A 12,943-nucleotide genomic window follows, 5' to 3' on the forward strand; every position below is an offset into this window, starting at 1 on the left:
ATATAAGAACTCCTACAAAGCAGTAAGAAATAAAAAACATGAACTCACTACAAAAATGAGCAAAATACTTCAATAAGCACTTCACAAAAAGATATCCAAATGGCTTATGCATTTAAAAGTTGCTTAATCTCACTTCTCAACTGAAAAGAGACTACGCTGAGGTACCATTACACACCCATCAGTTTATCTGTCAAAACTATGCTGAGATACCATTACACACTGTTCAGATTTTCTGGGTGTTTTTTTGTTTGTTTGTTTGTTTTTGTTTTTGGTCGTTGTTTGTTTTAAGTGACAGGGTCAGCCACGGTAATCCCAGCACTTTGGGAGGCTGAGATGGGTGGATCACTTGAGGCCAGGAGTTGAGCAACAAAGTGAGACCCTGTCTCTCCAAAATAAAAAAAAAAAAAATCAGCTGGGCGTGGTGGTATGTACCTGTAGGGGGAGGCTGAGGCAGGAGGATCACTTGAGCCCAGGAGGTCCAGGCTGCAGTGAGCCAAGATCCCGCCACTGTACTCCAGCCTGGGCAACAGAGACTTTGTTTTCTGTTTTTGAGAAAGAAAGAGTGAGGCAGGGTCTTACTCTGTCACCCAGGCTAAGTACAGTGGCATGATCTCAGCTTAGTGTGGCCTTGACCTTCAAAGTCCAAGTGATCCTCCTCCTCCAGCCTCCTGAATGGCTGAGACTACAGGCGCACGCCACCATGCCCAGTTAATTTTTAAACTTTTTGTAGAGACAAGGTCTTACTTCTTCACCCAGGCTGGTCTTGAACTTCTGGCCTCAAGCGATCCTCCCACCTCAGCTTCCCAAAGTGCTGGGATTACAGGCATGAGCCACCACTCCTAGCCAGAATATCTTTTTTTTTTTTTTTAAACGATCTATACCAAGTGTTGATGAGGGTGTAGAATAGCAAGGGATCTTGTAGACTGCTGAATGGAGCATAAACTGGTTTGACCACTTTGGAAAACTGTTTGGCAGAATATATTAAGATTGTGCATGTACATTCTTTATGACCCAGTTCCACTCCCAGGTATATGTCCAAGAAAAATGCATAAATGTGCCCCAAAAGACATAGCTAGGCAGGGAGCAGTGGTTCACAGCTGTAATCGCAGCACTTTGGGATGCCAAGGCAGGCGGATTGCTTGAGCCCAGGTGTTTGAGACCAGCCTGGGCAACATGGTGAAAACCCTTCTCTACAAAAAATACAAAAATTAGCTGGGCATGGTAGTTTGCACATGTAGCCTCACCTGCTAAGGAGGCTGAGGTGGGAGGATCGCGTGAGCCCAGGAGGTCAAGGCCGCAGTGAGCTGTGATTGTGCCACTGCATTCCAGCCAGGACAACAGAGTGAGAACCTGTTATCTAGTCTGCCATAGACATGTCTAATGTTGTTTATAGCAGCATTATTCATAATATCAAAAAGCCTGAAACAACCCAACTTTTGAACTTTTCATCAACAATGGTGGTTAAATACATTGTTTTATTCTTGCAATGGAGTATTTATATGGCAATGGACGTTAACAAACTACAGCTATATGCAACAATCTAGGAAACCCCCATATGTAATGTTGTCTATGAGAAGCCACCTACAACGAAGTGCATACTGATGATTCCATTTATATGCAGTTTAAAGCAGAAGAACTTACCTGTAGTGATAGATGTCATCACTGTGGTTGTCTTTGGGGAGGAAGGAGGAGGGAGTGGGAGCATGCTCATGGTGAGTGGGCTGCTTCCAAGATGGGGATAACAGTCTGCTTTCTGATCTGGTGGTGGTTACATTATTGTGTTCACTTTGGGAAAAATCATTTGGGTTTTGAACTATACATTTGATTAGTATACTTTTCTGTGTGTGTGGTTTACATCAGTCAAAAAGTAAAACATGACAAACAGATACAAAACAGACTAAAAGGAATTATGACACAAACTGATAGTGTTTATTTCTGTGTGATACATGTGACTTGGGTGATATATGTCTGTCTATATATGTATTTTTCCCTAGTATTTTACTTTTATAGTTATAGGGAAAATCCTTATTTATAAACATCAAAACCTGACCCTCATTCGAAAGTTAACATGACTTGTAGCTTTAATGGAATCTAGAATTATAGTATCACAGAAGGCCATCATATGACTTAAGTATGTCATTTCCTTTCTTCCCTAATTAGGCCCTAAAAAGCACCTTGGGGTTTCCTTTGATACGGTTTGAAGACGCTGTGATTAATCTAGATCCATTCACTCGGGTACATCCCTATGAGACCAAGGAGTTCATCATCAATGATATCCTCAAACATTTCCAGGAGGTGAGGCTTGGAGAAGTAATCATTGGCTGGAGCATAAGCAGAATGTTTGTTTTAGTTGTTTGGGAATTTTGGTTACTAAGGCATTACTATTGAGAACCCAGTTAAACATTTCAACTCTGTTGTGTTACGGGTCAGGTCACTTCCCAAGAAGCCCGTATGTGTCATGAAAATCCTGAGATAGTACATTTGACCTATGAGCTGTTAGTTTCATCCCTCAGAGCTAGTCTGAGGGGTTCCTGCTAGATTAATCATGACTCTTAATGGTTTAGTTGATGCTTTAATAATAACAAAATAATGTTTTTATTTACCAGGCATGGGCCTTCTTTCAGCAACTACACCCATGTTCTTAGAGTCTGTGGGATCCTGCATTTGGGTTGAACTTGAAATTTTTTAAATCACCTTGGACATTTTCCATTTTGTATTTATTATCCAGACTGCAAAGATCAAAAAGTAAAGGCAAGGCATAATCTTCAATGAATAGATAGGTCAAGATCGTATCAAATTTAATAGCTTTCAAAGTTAAAATATATTTTATTCTCACTTCCTTTTCTCCATTCCCCGTTTCCTTTTTTGACTATCCTAATTGGTGATATTTCCACCTAACTAAGGAAAGTGATACAGCAGATATCACTGGAACCTGGGATCAGGCAATTGGAAGTACAGAAAGAGTGGAGGGGCCAGTCATGGTGGCTCACACCTGTAATCCGAGTACTTGGTGGGAGGCCAAGGCAGGAGGATCACTTGAGCTCAGGAGTTCAAGACCAGCCTAGGCAACATATTGAGACCCCATCTCTACAAAATATAGAAAAAAAAGATTAGCTGGTTGTAGAGGTCTTGCCTGTAGTCCCAGCTACGGGAGGCTGAGGTAGGAGGACTGCTTGAGCCCAGGAGGTCAAGGCTGCAGTGAGCCACGGTGATGCCACCTCACCTCAGCCTGTGTGACTGAGACCCTGCTTCAGAGAAAGAAACAGTGGAGGTTTGCTTGATAAGTCTCTCCATGCCTTCTTCAGGCCCCCCACCCACACCACAGCTTATGAGAGGAACTGTAAATCTACCTCTCTTCCTCACTTTCCTTTTGTAATTCTCCCTGCTGGTGATTACTTCTCTATTTGTAGGCATGATGAAAAGGAGAGTATGATGTATATAGTAGCAAATACTCATAAGAATGCTTCCTGTTTCATAGCTATTTTTATTCTTCTAACTGGCTTGGAAGAGTATGTGTATTGGGATATGTGTATTGGGAGAAGCTTAGGTGGTGCTCCTGAAAGGACAGGAGATTATTTTGCAGTTGATGAAGATTAAAAGCTTTTAATCTCGTTACTTGTAGTAATGAGAATGGAGAACAAAATAGATTTCTAAGCTCTTCGCTTGGGACACTGGTATCTGCAAATATAAGTAGATGCTGATTGGACTTTTCTCTTCCTGTTCCATTTGGCAGGAACTCCTCAGCCAGGCAGCTCGAATCCTGGGATCAGTGGATTTTCTTGGCAATCCTATGGGGCTTTTGAATGATGTTTCTGAAGGGGTTACTGGACTGATAAAATATGGAAATGTCGGGGGCCTCATCAGAAATGTTACACACGGAGTATCAAACTCTGCTGCCAAGGTAAGGAAATAGAGGTGAAATTCCATTATAATTAACCTCACGAGTCCTCTACAGTACTACAATTTCTTTTATAGTTAATGGGCTGTGAAAAGTTATATTCATGGCTTTTGCTTCATTGCCCACATGCCTTGCCTTTTCCTCACCTCCAGTCACCTGCCACCAGGTGCACTGAGTCCACCTCTGAAATACCTCTTCCTCCTTCCTCTCCGTTGCCACTGCCTTAGTCCAGGCATTGCGTATGTCTTACCTGGGTCACTGCAATAGCCCCCAGCACCCTGGACCTTTCACGATGACCCCTACACCTTTCACTGTGCCACCAGAATGAACTCACTGGATTGTGCCATTCTCCTGCCTGAGATCTACCAGTTATTGCCCACAGTTTACAGGGAAAGTCCAAGCTGAAGTACAGCCTTCTATAATGACAACAACCTTTTAAGCCACCTGAAACCAGCAGCAGATGGACAGTGATGTCATTCTCCAGTATCTTGCAGCTAGTTGACTGGTTTGTTCACTGACATCTTAATTCGTGGACATTTTCTTAGTTCACTCTGTATTTTCTGGCAGGAATTGATTATATGCGAAGCTGGAAAAGGTGAAGCGAGTTGAAGGTAGTTGCTATTTGACATACAGCCCTCCAAAGAGCTCTGCTTTTTTTCTCTTCCTTTCATCTCAACACACTTTTCTTGTAGAGACTGGCTTTTTCATGAATGAACTCATTTGGAGGAAACACCTGTACTCTCTGCTTATTTACTGTGGAGAGAGCATTTTTGTAGTGAGATCACAGGTGTACTTGCGCCACAGGGTGATATGACATAAAAGTAGCTTTACCAAAGAGATCTTTGTGGCACCGCGTAGAAATGTATCTTGAAGAGGAGGTAAGAGAGTCGAGTTGAATAGCATTTCTCTGTGGTATGGTGTTCTCGTTAATAATGTGTGAAAGCTGAGAATTTATTCTTTTTTCCCCAAACTATTTTCTAGGGATGATAGATTGGTCAGATCAGTTCTGTAGGATTATTGAACCAGACTAAAGTGTACTGTTTGGCTTGTGGTTCAAAATAAGCAACAGTCTTTTCTTTTTCTTTTTTCTTTTCTTTTTCGCGACAGAGTCTTGGTCTGTCGCCCAGACTGGAGTGCAATGGTGTGATCTCTGCTCACTACAACCTCTGCCTCCCGAGTTCAAGCAACTCTCCTGCCTCAGCCTCCCAAGTAGCTGGGATTACAGGTGCCCGGCACCACACCCCATTGATTTTTTGTATTTTTTAGTAGAGACGGAGTTTTGCCATTTGGCCAGGCTGGTCTCGAACTCCTGACCTCAAGTGATCCACCAACCTCGGCCTTCCAAAGTGCTGGGATTACAGGTGTGAGCCACTGTACCCAGACAGCAACAGTCTTTTAGAGAGACTTTCCCACTCATGGTTTGAAAGTGGTGAGACTCAGGTTCAAAGTCTGAACTAGCGTGTACTTTTCTGCCTTGAATCCTTTCTCACACTCCCATGTTCCCTTACCCCTCACGCATCATAAAACCTCATAGTGGTAACACAGATCCCTCACTCTTCTTGCTTTAGCTCTTGGACTTGATATAAATGAATGAACTTAAATATTTAGTTGTAAATGCCCAGTTAACATATTTTATTAAATTTTATTAACTTTATTGAATTCTAATTGACATAAGAAAGTCTTCTTGGTTTTATAATTTCTTTGTTTTTGTACCCTGGGCTTTACCATAATTTTAAAAATGAAGATGCTTATGATTTAACAATAGGACTTCCTCACTGTGGAATAGAAATGCACCTACTTTACAGGTTTATTGTGAGAACAAAATAAGGTATGACGTTACAAAAATTTTGAAAAATACAGAGTGAAGAAGATAAATAGGTCATTACTTTGACTGTAGTATTTGCATGGAGACTTGAGCCACCAGGAAGCCATTAGTGCTCTTGAAATGAAAACCAATCTATTATGAACTACAGAGAAGGAGGGTCTGGGACACTGAGAGTAGGAGAGTCAAACCCCATCAGGGCCAGTTTGACTCTTAGGAACCTCCATAGTTCACTGGGTTAAGAATGAAGAAGCTGTTCAAGTGCCTGTGACATCTCAACAGGAGAGACCTCCTAGGAGTTTCTCCAGGGTCTCCTGGCAACATCCTAGTGAAAGGATTGGCCCTTTATTCTCCTTGGTTTGTGGAAGTCTCGTTTGTTTCCTGGTTTTTCTGTTTTCCCTGAAAAACTGTTTTTGAAGCTTGAGGGTCAGCATGAGATTATAACTTAGGCAGAAAGAAAGGGCAGTGTCCTCCCTACCCCCACCCTCATCCTGGATCTATATGAAGGCCTGGGGGCAGTGATAATACATTTGATTTGGTATCATGCTTTGTATGTTGCCAGATTTATATAAGGGTATTGCTTTCCAGGGAACGAGTCCTCTGGTATGGGAACTTCCCTTCCCATGGGGTTGGGTTCCTTCATATAGTTGTCTTGCCTTTAATAAGCTACTAGTATTGGAGCCACAGGCTGCAGCTGAGGGGATTGCTATGTAATTTACAGGCATAGATTGTGTATTAGTCCATTCTTGCTTTGCTCTAAAGAAATACCTGAGACTGGGTAATTTATAAGAAAAGAGGTTTAATTGACTCATGGTTGTGCAGGCTGTACAGGAGGCATGATGCCAGCATCTGCTTCTGGCGAAGTCTTAGGAAGCTTCCAATCATGGTGGAAGGTGAAGCAGGTGTCTCACATGGCAGGAGTGGGAGCAAGGGAAAGAAGGGGGAGGTGCTACATACTTTTAAACAGCCAGATCTCATGAGAACTTGCTCAATATCATGAACACCAAGGGGATGGTACTAATCCATTCATAAGAAATCCACCCTTGTAATCCACATACCTCCCACCAGGTCCCAGCTCCAACATTGGGGATTATAATTCAACATGAGATTTGAGGGACAAACACCATACTATATCACATTGCTTAACATCAGGGATACATTTTGAGAATCATTTTACTAGGTGATTTCATTGCTGTGCGAACATCATAGAGTATACTTACACAAACCTAGATGGAATACAGCCTATTCCACACCTCGGCTATCGGCTCCTAGGCCGCAAAACTGTACAGCATGTTAAAGATATCTAAACCTAGAAAAGGTAGAGTAAAAGTATGGTATTATAATCTTATGGGTGGATTGTCGTATATGCAGCCCGTAGTTGACCAAATTGTTATTTGGCACATGACTGTATTTTGATACCAGCAATCTTAGGTGTTTATAGAGATGTAAAAACTAGTTATATCTCTAAGATGAGAAAGCAAATAAACACAAAATGACCACTTCTTATAGGAAATGGTAGATCTAAATGGGTCTATCAGTTGAATACCCATTCAGGTCATCTGTGATTCTGCACGTATGTGGTTGGACTAAAGATGTGCATTTTCTTGTAGTTTTGTGGGTTGAAATCAACGTTTAAAGTTGTTTTAGGGGAATGTTTTATTTGTTTCTCTGTGTAGACCAGAGGAGTTTGAGGAAGTACAAATGACCACAAGAATCAACTGTTGGCCTGTGTCAATTATTGCTTTAAAGAGTGCCTGAGTTCCAGTGATTAAAAAAGGGTCAGAGGGGACAGAACTGCACCTCATTGAGCCCCTGCCAGTGCACTGCACTTTACTGCAAAGACCAGAGGGCTTTAGCCTGGTTGAATGGGCTTTGAGTGTAGTGGAGAAGTTCATAAACCTCTTAAATTAATTGTAAATATTGTATAAATGTGCATTTTTCTGGGATGAGGGTCCAATGTTTCTTTTGTATCCTCAGGGAGAGATTCTTGCCTCCAAAGATTGTAAGCCATTATTATAGACATACGTTTGTACATTGAGGGGAGCTTGGGGCTGGTAGTCAGGATTGCCAGCACTTTAATTGTATTTCTACCTTTAAATAATCTTTTCCTCTGTTAAGAGATTTGTTTTTAACATTTATGAAAAGATGATGGTAACTCCCCCTGTCACACTGGCCTGAGGAGCAAAAGAGATGAAGTATATGAAACCCAGTGAGGAGTTAAAAGGAATTCATTCTGTCACATAAGAAGATAATAGACCTGTAGGGTTTAGTCATCTGTGGATAGATGCACAAATTTTAAATTTCAGGTCTATAGTGTATCCACTTGTGGAATTTCTCATTTCTTTTTTCTCCCCCCAGAGCGTTCCTGCAAAAGAAACGTCTCATTTCATCTCTGTTGTTTAATTTATTTAATACTGGCTTCAAGGAAATATAAGTAGGAAATAACCTATGCCCTTTTATCTCAGTTATTTCTCTTTGCCTTTCTTTCTCATCTCCCAACGCTAGAAATCAGCATATGGATTCAAATGTAAGATTTAAGTCTTAGCCACCAAATTGTGAGCATCTAACCCATGACTCCCCTGCCTGGGTCTTGGCAAGATGACTCTAGCCCTTAGCGGAACTTCAAAGATCTGATCCCATTCCTGAGGTCATGGCAAGGCAATCGCTTCTGGAAGGTCTTCTCTGAATGTGATTTATTTAAGAAAATGACAGCATTTCATATTCCAAACCCATGTCAGAGGAGAAAGTTTCTTTCTGCAGCATGAGTTGCAAAAAGTATACTTTCTTCTAGTTGTGTGTCATGTGAAGAATATCTGCAAGACACTCTAACATCTTTTAAAGGCAGAGAACTGGGAGGGCCCCCTATTGATGAAATTTCCTCTCTTATAGACTCTAGCTTCATTTTTACCTTCATTCTTGTGTGATATTTTCACATACATAGCTATCCTCAACAAAATAAATAAAGTACTTCTTAAATTAACAAAATCTCAGATATTAACAATAGAGCAAATGATCCCACTGTCTTTTCTGCCCCTGTAGAAACTGTGTTTGCTCTGCACCGTTGTTATCTGGTCTTCCTAAGGGAAGAAAGCCAACAGCATACTTAATTTCTTCCAGCAAAGGAGAGAAGCACTTTCAGTCATCACTAATGAAACCTCTGCTCATTCTGTCCTACTTTCCATCCCCCTTTTTTTGAGACAGTCTCACTCTATCGCCCAGGCTGGAGTGCAGTGGTGCAATCTCGGCTCACTGAACTCTCTGCCCTCCTGGGTTCAAGCGATCCTCCCACCTCAGCCTCCAGAGTAGCAGAGATTACAAGGATTACAAGCATGTGCCACCATGCTCGACTAATTTGTATTTTTAGTAGAGATGGGGTTTCACCATGTTGGCCAGGCTGGTCTTGAACTCCTGACCTCAAGTGATCTGCCCTCCTTGGCCTCCCAAAGTGCTGAGATTACACACTTGAGCCACTGCGCCCAGCCTCATCCCCTTCAGTATGTCTTTATCAAGTCAATATAGGATGCTTTTGATTCTGGGTACCTTTTTGATCCCATGTTTGTTTTGATTCTGTGTTTATGAATACAGATATTTTCATAATTTGTCGTGTTCTTAACAAATTATTTTCATAGTGGTTATTTGCTATTCATGTAAATTAGAATTCATTGTTCATTGTTTGCTACATGTTAATTTTACTAATAACTTTTATAGTTGTATGGTAGTTTTCTCTTTTGCTTTGTGGTATTTATTTCTACCAGGCCCAAATTTCCCAGCTCAAATTCTGCAGATCAAATTTTTGTCAAGGAGATGTGAGTTTTCTGCCACTTTTTAGTTAATGCATTTTATTCTATGTTGTTTTAGCCATTGTTTCATTGTCTTAAATCAGTTTTGTTTTTTATGAATTTGACAGAGATCTAATTTTTTAGATGATTTCTTGGTACAAACAGCATTAGTAGGAAAAGGTGTAGGAACAGGGTTGAAACACTGCACTTCATTGTGGAATACATACTAATGTATAAACATTTGTTGAGCACCTCCTGTTGGTTAGGCTTGGTGAGAGACCCTTTATATACATTGTCTTCTGTATGTTAAGCTCTATTCTGCCAATCAGGAAACTGAGAGTTAGAGAAGTTAAGTCTTCAAGGTCACACAGCTAGAGGTGACAGGGGTGGATCTGAATCCAAGTCCAGCTAATTTTGAAGGTCTTTTTTTTTTTTTTTTTCTTACAGGATGTTTTTCCTTTGTGTTTGTAAGGCATTCTTCTAGGCACTGCAGAGAATATGAAACATTAATTACTGCTGACTTCCCACCAGAAGCCTCTTATTTGATGTCACTGTGTAGCTGGTCAGTGACCACTATGGTAGCATTCTTGGCACAAAGCAGGCCCTCAGGAAGTGCTGGTGCCCACCGTCATTCTCGTGTTAGGTTGGTTGTGGCTGTCACTGTCTTCTTTATAGGCAATAAGAACCTTGGCAATTGCAACCATGGTTTTACTCATGTGATATCATTTGATCATCAGAATTACCTGGTCAGTAGCTAGATGGGCATTTTCAGCCCCATTATGTAAATGAAGAAACTGAGGCCCAGATTGGTCAGGTGACTTTCCCAAGATCAGCCAGGTCACTACAGAGCTGAGACCTGGCTCTTCTGTACTGGCATCTCAGTTCTCATTTTTAATTAGACTTTTGAGATATCACTTAACTACAAGATTTATTCTAGACATGCCTCTATGTGTTAAACAAATAAACCAAAAAAATAAAATAAAAAGCAAACCAAACAAAAAGCCCTACCTAGTCCCACAGTGAACTTTGATAACTTTTAGGAAAACTGTCTGAAGATAAATATAAGCAAGTTGAGACCGAGAAAACGAGAAATTCAGACAGTTCAGATAGTTCAGTAGAAAATCTAGCTAGGACTTTAAATACCATTTTGTTCCATTTCTTTGGTTTCTGTTTGGGACAGCAGTGTGGAGGAGCTGCTTCTTTTCGAAGCAAACCTTTCACCAGCCCTTTGTCCCAGGACACCAGATTTGGTGCCTAGCCATGATCCAGTGGAAACTGACTTTCCTGTCCCTGCACAGAGACTCTCAGCCAGCCCCTGCCATCAGCCAGCCTTCTATCATATATACTATGACCTTGTTGAGGAGAGAGGGGCCCATCTGCCTTTTGTTTAAGAAACAGCATTTTTTGTTGTTGTTTACTTTGCAGTCACTGTATTTATAAGGCTCAGACAAAACTAAGAGCAATGTTTATTCAAGGTGAAAATTTTATCTTTGCACAAAAGAATGCACTGAGTGAGTCCCTGCATGGATTCTGAAGGCGAAAAGGCAATTTATGACTTGTATCTGTTTTTGTCATTATGTATGACTGCTCCATTTTATAGTTGAGCTGATTATCCCCATAATAGCTTTTCCATGTACCTATAAGCAAGTAATAGGTGAATGCCTTCTCATAAGCATTGGGGTTTTAGTGTATTTAAGTTGGCACAAAACTTCAGGGTAAATGAAATTCACTTCAGACAGTGATCTTTCCCTTAGAGAATGTAAGGCTTTCTATTTTCAAAAAGACTTTGATCCTAAATAAGTCACCCGAGGGATTTCTTTTCCAGTCAAGAGGAGGTACCTTCGAGTTGTTGTACATAGGGAAATGACTCAAATTTTTGGCATCAGAATTTTTGTTTTATTTTCCTCTGATAATTTTGAGTACTAAAATCATTCCCTTAGTCTGAGCTCTTTTTGGTTAGAAGCAAATTTTAGATGCTGAATGACTCACCCTAACTTGGGCAACTGTCAACCATCTTGGGGGATCTAATAAAAGTGTATTTGTGGGGGCCGGGGTAGAGTGGTGTCATGAGAACTGCAAGTGACCAAAATTCACAGGCAGTCCCCATGTACCTCACTGAGCAGCCTCACGCATGAAGGAGCCAGGTGAGCAGAGTTTGCTCATGAAGGAGCCAGGTGAGCAGGGTTTAGCTTTCCCCCTTTTCCACCCTAATCAGGTAGCTCAGTAGCCAGAAGTGACAGAGCAGGGAATGAGTGATGCCACTATTGATGTCCTGTTTTTGAAACAGAAAGAAAAAGTTCAGAACTTCTTCATTTCCTAATGGTAGTTCAGTTAAGAACAAGCTTCTTCAGATTTCTTTTTTTTTAAGGCCTGAACATGTCATATTTGAGAGGAATTAACTTGATCTTCCAAAACTGGAGCCTGTGTGGTAGAAAAGTATATTCAGTTGCTAAGTTGAAAAGACAGAAAATATTTGTGTCCCCCAAAAGTAGTGGTTTTCTACCCTAGTGTAAACATGGTTTATAAAGGAATCATGTGTTCAAGCTTTCTTAGGTTGGCTGGTGACCCTTGGCATTGTGGTCATGCATCCCTTTTCTGTGATTCAGTATTCTTCACATCAGTCTTTGGCCTTTCTTGAAAAATTGTGACAAACTTTAAGTGAGATAAAATTTTCAAGACACTCACTCTGTTTGGAAGGTTCTTTCTAATTTTTTTTTTAAATTTCTTTCTACCTTATAATTGTTCTTTCTAAAAGTCTGTCTCCATCTTGAAGAAAAGCTGAATCAAAGTTTATTCTTAGGAGAAAGAGGGAATGTCTTGGTCAATATGACGGTTAAAAATCAGAAAGCAGGCCGGGCATGGTGACTGACACCTGTAATCCCAGCACTTTGGGAAGCCGAGGCAGGTGGGTCACCTGAGGTCAGGAATTCGAGACCAGCATGACCCAACATGGTGAAACCCCACCTGTACTATAAATACAAAAATTAGCTAAGCGTGGTGGTGCATGCCTGTAATCCCAGCTATTCAGGAGGCTGAAACAGGAGAATCGCTTGAACCCAGGAGGCGGAGGTTGCAGTGAGCTGAGATTGTGCCACTGCACTCCAGCCTGGGTGACAGAACAATGTTGTTTCTGTCTTAAAAAAAAAAAAAAATATCAGCGATGTGAAGAGTGTAGCCATCATTTATTAACTCCTACATGTCGAATATGGGCCTAGGATCTTTCCCTATGCTCTCTCATGTAACTTTCACATATACCCAATAGGAAGGAAGGAAGGAAGGGAGGAAGAGAGGGAGGGAGGGAGGGAAGGAGGATTAAGCCCATTTTACAGATGAGAAAAATTAGACTCAGACTCTTCAGGAACCTTGATTGAAATTTAATAATGACTCATTGGAGCTAGAAGTTTTCAAAAAAAATTAATTTGGGAGGCAGCCTCTATTTTTCCT

General features: G+C 40.9%; 1 protein-coding gene across 2 annotated transcripts in view; it reads left to right on the forward strand.

The window, feature by feature from the left end:
* The window catches only part of VPS13D (vacuolar protein sorting 13 homolog D), a 282,018-nt gene that overhangs the window by 182,897 nt on the left and 86,178 nt on the right, over positions 1-12,943 (forward strand). For both annotated transcript variants that reach the window (NM_015378.4, NM_018156.4), the window contains 2 exons: positions 2,161-2,295; positions 3,734-3,901. In NM_015378.4, coding sequence (NP_056193.2) covers positions 2,161-2,295; positions 3,734-3,901 — 303 coding nt within the window. The remainder of the gene's footprint in view (positions 1-2,160; positions 2,296-3,733; positions 3,902-12,943) is intronic.

The sequence above is a fragment of the Homo sapiens genome, chromosome 1 (genome assembly GCF_000001405.40).
Source record: "Homo sapiens chromosome 1, GRCh38.p14 Primary Assembly".
NCBI lineage: Eukaryota > Metazoa > Chordata > Mammalia > Primates > Hominidae > Homo > Homo sapiens.